The 8,695-nt window shown below is 35.5% G+C and overlaps 1 protein-coding gene across 10 annotated transcripts in view; it reads left to right on the top strand.

Moving 5' to 3' along the window:
- Positions 1-2,623, top strand: part of FAAH2 (fatty acid amide hydrolase 2) — a 367,606-nt gene extending 364,983 nt beyond the window's left edge. For 7 of the 10 annotated variants that reach the window (XM_011530767.4, XM_005261985.4, NM_001353840.1 and 4 more), the window contains one exon: positions 2,184-2,623. In XM_011530767.4, the coding sequence (XP_011529069.1) occupies positions 2,184-2,359 (176 nt within the window). In that variant the 3' untranslated portion in view covers positions 2,360-2,623. The remainder of the gene's footprint in view (positions 1-2,183) is intronic. The other 3 variants (NR_148564.2, NR_148557.2, NM_174912.4) reach the window with 1 other exon arrangement.

Here is an 8,695-nt window from a genome sequence, read left to right on the forward strand (position 1 = left end):
TTTTTCTTTGTTTCTAACAAATCTCAGGTGCCCTAGCTCTGCTGGTACTCCCAATGTTTGTCATGGAATGAGACAAGAGTGAGCTTCCTGTAAAGCACCCCACAATGATGAGGAAGCTGGATATATGTTTACAGCTCTCTTTTCCCCTACAGAAACAAGAGCCCAGGGGAATCTTCTTTGGCACTGTTACAGCTTGAGAGAGGGTGATGCGAAATGAAACCATTCCTCTTACCCTTTGAATGCAGCTGTTATCTGTTCTGTGGCTGGAGGGGCTATCTCCCAAATTCAGGGATATTCATGAAAGTATTCTTATCTGCGGATAGTTAGTAGTTGGATTTATGTGACGGGGACTGGAACTGCAGAACTCCTCCTATTCCGTTATCTTGCTGACATCACTCTCTTTACTTTCCTCTCAATTTACTTTTAATAAAGGAGGTTTCAAGACAGTTCAATGAAGAATTAATAGTCTTTTCATCAAATGGTTCTAGGACAACTGGATATCTACGTGCAAAAGAATAAAGTTGGAGCCTTTCCACACACCCACCGTATACAAAAACTAATGTAAAATAAATAGGAGACCTAAATGTAAAAGCTAAAACTCTAATATTTTTATAAGGAAACATGAGTACATCTTCATGACCTTGAGATAAAAGGTTTCCTAGATACAGCTTCAAAAGCCCAGGCAATAAAAGAAAGCATGATAAATTAGAATTTGCCAAAATTAAAAAAAAAAACTATATTTCAAAATATAACAATAAAGTAAAAAGGAAAGACACTGACCAGGGGAGAATATTTGCAAATTATATAACGCCTGGGGATTTATATTCCAAACATATGAAAAACTCTTACAACTCAATAATAAGACGATAACCCAACTTAAAATGCACAATGGATTTCAATAGATATTTCCCTAAAGAAAACATACTAATTGCCCATAAGTGCGTGAGAGAATGGTCAATATAATTACTCATTAGGGAAATGCATATTAAAATCACAAGGAGTTATCAATGCACATTCACTAAAATAGTTATAAACCAAAAGGATAAGGGTTAATGAGCATGTGGAGTAACTGGGACCCTCATACATTTCTGGTAAGACTGTTGTCACATTGGTGCAGACTCTTTGGAAAACAATTTGGCATTTTCTTAAAATGTTAAATGTAAATTTGTCATAAGACTCAACTATTTCATTCATCTTTATATGTATATATATGCTCAAGAAATGAAAATAAATATTCATACAAAGACATAAACAAATGTGTAATTATATTGCTGATTTTTGCAGCATAATTAGTAATAGCCAAAAGTATTAGTCCAACTGTCCAGTAACTGGTGAATAGATAATCAAAATTTGGTATATTTATTCAATGGAATAGTCTTTGTCCATAAAAGAACCATTTATATAAACCTTGAAAACATTGTGCAGAGTGGAAGAAATCAGACAAAAAATGTTACATATTATATAATTCAATTTCTAGAAAGTGTTCAGAATAGGAAATCTATATGGATAAAAATTTAATTACTGGATACTGGGGATTGGGGGAATAGAGAAATGGAGATTTCTAGATTGTGGTGATGCTTGCACAATTCTGTAAATTTATTAGCAATCATTAAACTGTACATTTGAAACGGGGAATCTTATTTTATATAAATTATGCTGCAATAAAGTTTTATAACAGCATGAATGAGGTAAATAATGACAAATCACAACTCTAGATTAGTGTGAAATGATATTACAAAATGTTTATAGCTTAAAAGAAAATCCATATATTTAAGAATATATTATTCTACTTTATAATTTACTCTGATTTTTCTGAAAGTGCTATGGAAAACAAATTAGAAATAACGTCATGTGAAAGAACTTTAGGCTATTATTCACACTTTCTGCATTCAGATTTCAATTACAGCTTTTGCTAGCCAAGTGATCTTGGATATGTTATCTAACTTCTCTATTCTTCAGTCATTTCATCAGAAAAATAGTGATAATTAATAGCTTCTATATTATGAGCTTGTTGTGATGTCAAATATTTAATACAGATAAAGTTCCTAAATATTATTAAGTCCTAAGTAGATAGTAAATTATAATTATATATTTTCACCTATTTATTATTGGTAAAATAATTGAAAAAATACGTTTTCAGGAACAGGTCTTGATTTCTCACTTATTTTGTTTGTTTTCTTCAGGTGTCTTCAGTGCCCTGGGTTTGCCTGTGACCCAATGCCCACTGGGACTGAATGCCAAAGGACTCCCTTTAGGCATCCAGGTTGTGGCTGGACCCTTTAATGATCATCTGACCCTGGCTGTGGCCCAGTACTTGGAGAAAACTTTTGGGGGCTGGGTCTGTCCAGGAAAGTTTTAGGAGGACCTTCTGCAAGGTTAATGTGTGTGTGTGTTTGTGTTCGTGTGGTGGTGTTTCTATTAATTGGGTGAAATCAAGCACCAGCAGACAAGCAGAGAAACAACTGGGGAATTTATTGACTCATTTAGTTATTCTTTCTACTTTTATTTCCTTCTCTAACTGTTGGTCTTACTAAAATGGTAATATTTGCTTCTTGCTTTTATGTTACTGGAAAATTAGGACATGTAAATGGATAAGTGCAATAAAGTTTCCTAAATGCTGGAATCGTGTCTGTTTTGGGTACAGCAGGGAAATTAAAGAAGGGAATGTCCAGTGCTAATGAGGGGATCTTAAGAAACTTTAGAGAAGAGATGTTGCTGAAACTGACAAATGGAGAGTTACGTGTTTTCGAGGCAGGCCATTAAGTAAGGGAATTCCAGTTAGAAGAAGCTACAGTGAAGAAGGCAAGGACATGCTGCTGTAAGTTAGTATGGCTGGCGGGAAACTGGAGGGGGGTATGTAAGTAATGAGACCATGGTAAGGAAAGCTCTTCCAATATCCCCCAAAAATGTTTTATAATTTTGTTCACTAAGAGATCCTAGAAGCAACAGGTCCTAGAACAACATTACACGTATGATTATATATATTATATAATCATATATATGTTATATATCATATATCATATATATAATCATATATATAATGGATTTAGAAAGTCATTGTTTTGAAACCATCAAATAATACTTAATTCATACATAGCTCATCAATGGATCCTAAAACCACTGGATAAAAGTTTGACAAACAGAATATTTTTAGTCTCAAAATATCTTTTCACTTACCACTTATTAATTTCAAGAGTGGGGAATATTACCTGTAGAGTGCAGATATATGGTAGACACCATCATAATCAAATAGCCAACATTAATCTGAGCAACAAATCTATGATGTCCCTGACAAGAATGCATCACCTGAATCTAATTGTAAGAAATAATCAGAAGAAACCAAATTTATAAACATCTTACAAAATTAAGGGCCTACATTATTCAAATATGTCAAAGAATTAATGCCAGTGACAGGCTAAGGAACTGCTCCAGAATAAAGATGAATAAAGACCCATGATAACTAAATTCAATGTGTGATCTCAAATTGGAAAAGTAAGATTTTTAAAAAAGATAGTGTTAAGACAATTGGACAAATATAAATGTAGGATGTTTTGTAGATAATGTACTGTGGCAATTTCTGAATTTCATTTTGTTTTTATTTATTTATTTTTTTGTTATACTTTAAGTTCTGGGATACATGTGCAGAATGTACAGGTTTGTCACATAGGTATACATGTGCCATGGTGGTTTGCTGCACCCACCAACCCGTCATCTATATTAGGTATTTCTCCTAATGCTATCCCTCCCCCCACTCCCTGACAGGTCCCAGTGTGTGACATTCCTCTCCCTGTGTTCATGTGTTCTCATTGTTCAACTCCCACTTATGAGTGAGAACATGCAGTATTGGGTTTTCTGTTCTTGTGTTAGTTTGCTGAGAATGATGGTTTCCAGCTTCATCCATGTCCCTGCAAAGGGGACGAGCTCATCCTTTTTTTATGGCTGCATAGTATTCCATAGTGTATATGTGTGTCACATTTTCTTTTTCCTGTCTATCATTGATGGGCATTTGGGTTGGTTCCAAGTCTTTGCTATTGTGAACAGTGCTGCAATAAACATACACGTGCATGTGTCTTTATAGTAGCATGATTTATAATCCTTTGGGTAAATGGCATTTCTGGTTCTAGATCCTTGAGGAATCACCAGACTGTCTTCCACAATGGTTGAGCTAATTTACACTCCCACAAACAGTGTAAAAGCATTCCTAGTTCTCCACATCTTCTCCAGCACCTGTTGTTTCCTGACTTTTTAAAGATCGCCAAACTGGCATGAGATGGTATCTCATTGTGGTTTTGACTTGCATTTCTCTAATGACCAGTGATGATGAGATTTTTTTCATATGTTATTTGGCCGTATAAATGTCTTCTTTTAAGAAGTGTCTGTTCATATCCTTAGCCCACTTTTTGATGGGAAAGCTTTTTTCTTGTAAATTTGTTTAAGTTTTTTGTAAATTATGGATATTAGCCCTTTGTCATATGGATAGATTGCAAAAATTTTCTCACATTCTGTAGATTGCTGGTTCACTCTGTTAGTTTCTTTTGCTGTGCAGAAAGAGAGCACCTGGGGGAAGGGGTAGCTGTGGGTGCAGCTTCAGCAGACTTAAACCTTCCTGCCTGCTGGCTCTGAAGAAAGCTGCAGATCTCCCAGCACAGCGCTCGAGCTCTGCTAAGGGACAGACTGCCTCCTCAAGTGGGTCTCTGAACCCCATTCCTCCTGACTGGGAGACACCTCCCAGCAGGGGTCAACAGATACCTCATACAGGAGAGCTTCAGCTGGCATCTGGCAGGTGCCCCTTGGGGACAAACTTTGCAGAGGAAGGAACAGGCAGCAATCTTTGCTGTTCTGCAACCTCCATTGGTGATACAAAGGCAACCAGGGTCTGGAGTGGACCTCCAGCAAACTCCAGCATGCCTGTAGCAGAGGAGCCTGACTGTTTTTGCATCTATATTTATTAGAAATATTGACCTGTAGTTTCCTTTTTTTAGCTTCTTTGTCTGGTTTCAGTATTGTAGTAACCTTGGCATCATAGGATGAGTTAGGAAGAATCCATCCTCCTCAATTTTTTGGAAAAGTGCAGTGTTAGTTCTTTAAAAGTTTGGAAGAACTTGGTAGTGACGCCAACTATTCCTAGAGTTTTCTATTTTGGGAGGCATCTTATTACTGATGTAATCTCATTATTCATTATTAGTCTATTCAGATTTTATGAACATATATGTGCCAAACACTGGAACACCCAGATGTATAAAGCACATATTATATGTAAGTCAAAGAAAAGATTTCAATACTCTACTAGTTGAGGACTTTAACATACTACTCTAAGAATTAAACACATAATCTAGGCAGAAATTTAAAAAAGAATAATTGGATTTAAACCGCACTTTAGACCAAAGGAACCTCATAGACATTTATGGAACTTTATATCTAAGAACTACTGAGCATAAATTTTTTATCAGCACGTAGAACATTCTCCAGAATTTTACACTGTAGGTTAAGCCACGAAAAGATCTCAACATATTGAAAAAATTAAAATCATATAAAGTATACTATAAGACCAAATGGAATAAAACTAGAGATAAATAGCATGAGAAACATTGGAAGCCATATAAATACACGTAAATTAATCAACAGGTTCTGAATAACCATGGGATCAACAGAGTAATTAAGATAGAAGTCAAAAAATTTGTTGAAACAAATCAAAATGGAAACACAACATACCAAAACTTGTGAGACACAGCAAGAGCAGTGCTCAGACTAAACTTTATAGCAATAAATGCCTATATTAAAAAAAAGTATAAAAGATTACAAATTAGCAATCTAACAATGCACTGCAATGAACTAAGAAAACAAGAACACACCAAGCCCAACATTATGAGAAGAAAAGAAATAACATAGACCAGAGCAGGACTAAATTATGTAGACAGTAAAAAAAACAGAGGATTCATAAAACAAAAAAGATGGTTGTTCAAAAAGATAAACAAGATTGATAAAGTGCTAACTAGAGTAACCAACAAAAGAAAAGAGAATGTCCAAATAAAGAAAATGATAAATAAGTGGGAGTGCTATGCAATTCTTGCACTTCTACGAAGAAATATATGAGATGGTAATTTTTAAAGAAAAGAGGTTTAATTGGCTCATTATTCTGTAGGATTTACATGAAGCATGGTGCCAGACTCTGCTCAGGTTCCAGCAATTCTACTATTGGGTATCTACCCAAAGGAAAAAAATAATATATCAGTGGGATACCTGCATTCTCATGTTTAATGAAGCAGTATTCAAAAACACAATGATATGGAATCAACCTAAGTGTGCAACAACAGGTGAATGAATAAAAAAGTGTACAATATATACACAATGAAATACTTTTTGGCCATTAAAAACAAACAATGAGATCATGTTATTTTCAGCAACAAGGTTGGGACTGAAGAACGTATGAAATATGCCAGGCACAAAAACATAAATATTGCATGTTCTCACTTACATATGGGAGCTGGAAAATTTTATCACATGGAGATATAGAGTGGAAAGATAGATAACAGAGACTGAGAAGGATGATTGGGGCTGAGGGTGGAGGATAAAAAATAGTGGATTAAGATGTACAAATCATAGAAGGAATAAATTTAATGCTTGACAGCAGAGAAGTGTAACTGTAGTTTAAAAAAAATTGTACTTGAGTGACACCCTAAATACCCTGACTCGATCACTACACATTATATACATGTAACAAAATTTCACATGTAACTTATAAATTTTTACAAATAAAAAAATTTTAAAAATAAATCTTATCAAGTATCTCCTCAGCCCACAATTGAATAAAACTAGGAATCAATAACAAGAGGAAATTTAGAAACTGTACAGAAATATGGAAATTAAGCAAAATGCTCACTGGGCGTGGTGGCTCATGCCTGTAATCCCAGCACTTTGGGAGGCCGAGGTTGGTGCATCACTTGAGGTCAGGAGTTCAAGACCAGACTGATCAACATGGTGAAACCCCCTCTCTACTAAAAATACAAAAAAGCTAGCCGGGCATGGTGGTGGGTGACTGTAATCCCAGCTACTCAGGAGGCTGAGGCAGGAGACTCATTTGAACCCGGGAGGCAGAAGTTGCAGTGAGCCGAGATCATGGCCACTGCACTTCAGCCTGGGTGAGGAAACAAGACTCTGTCTCAAAATAAATAAACAAACAAACAAAATGTTCATGAATGACCATTGGGTCAAGGAAGAAATAAAGGAGAAAATGCATTTCTGGAAACAAATGAAAATCAAAATACAATGTACCAAAACCTATGGGATACAGCAAAACAGTGCTAAGAAGGAAGTTTATAGCAATAAACACCTACATCAAAAAAGTAGAAAAAGACTGGGCACAGTGGCTCACCTGGTAATCCCAGCACTTTGGGAAGCTGAAGTAGGAGGATTTCTTGAGCCCAAGAGTTTGAGACTAGCTTGGGAAAAAAAAGCAAGACCCTGTCTTTACAAAAATAAAAATAAGAAAATTATCTGGGAGTAGTGGTACACAACTAAAGTCCCAGCTGCTTGGCCGGAAGATGTGGGAGGATCACTTGAGCCTGGGAGGTCAAAGCTGCAGTAAGCCATGATTGCACGACTGCACTCCAGCCTGGGCAACAGAGAAAGATCTTATCTGAATAAAATAAAATAAAATAAAATAAACAATCTAACAATACACCTCAAAGAAATGGAAAAGCAAGAACCAAACCCCAAATGAGTACAAGAAACAAAATAACAAATATCAAAGCAGAACTAAATGAAATAGAGACCAAAAAATCAATACAGAGTGTCAGTAAAACAAAAAGTTGATTCTCTTTGTTTATCTTTTTGATTGATAAACAAAATTGATAAACCACTAGCTAGAATACCCAAGAAAATACCCAAAGGAACAAAATCAGAAATGAAAAAGGAGACATCATAACAGATGCCACAGAAGCACAAAGGATTATCAGAGACTATTATAAACTAACAAACTGGAATGCCTAGAATAAATGGACAAATCTCTGGACACATACACCTTCTGAGGTCTTATTCAGAGTATTATATCACTTCACATGAATCCTATCCTACTATAGGTTACCTGGATTTTCCAGGTGATAGGAGGATGTCTGTGACATCAAGAATGGCAGTCTCATCTAAAATTATGTAACACAAGCAATGTATAGTCAGAATGGAATGCTCATCTACCTTATATAACATAAATAATATATAGTCAGAGTGAATAAAAGGGAAATGGTTTTGGAGTCAGGTTTGGAGCCAGACCTAGGTATGATTCTTGCCTTGCTGCTTATTAGCTTAGTTGCCTAACCAATCTCAGCCTGTTTTGTCATTTATAGAAGGGAGGATTTGACACTCATGCCTCATTATTATTTATAGAAGGAAGGAAGGGAGAAAATGACACCCAAAAAAAGCCTCATTCATTATTGATCATCACAAAAGGTTATGATTGAAATTGTCAATTTTTCTCCCCTACTAGACTGTAATCTTTTAAGTACTCTGAAACATCTTTATTTTCACCAAACTCACAATACAGTATTTCACATGGTAAGTGTCAGTTTACCTCAACAGTTCTTGTTGACTAGTACTAAATTAGGCCTCATTCTAGTATATTTTCCTCAAATATAATGAGGTTAAATTATCTTTAATTTTCCATATCCCCATGAAACTACCCATGTGCCAATGTAGTTATTAA

The sequence above is a fragment of the Homo sapiens genome, chromosome X (assembly GCF_000001405.40).
Source record: "Homo sapiens chromosome X, GRCh38.p14 Primary Assembly".
NCBI classification, from domain to species: Eukaryota; Metazoa; Chordata; class Mammalia; order Primates; family Hominidae; genus Homo; species Homo sapiens.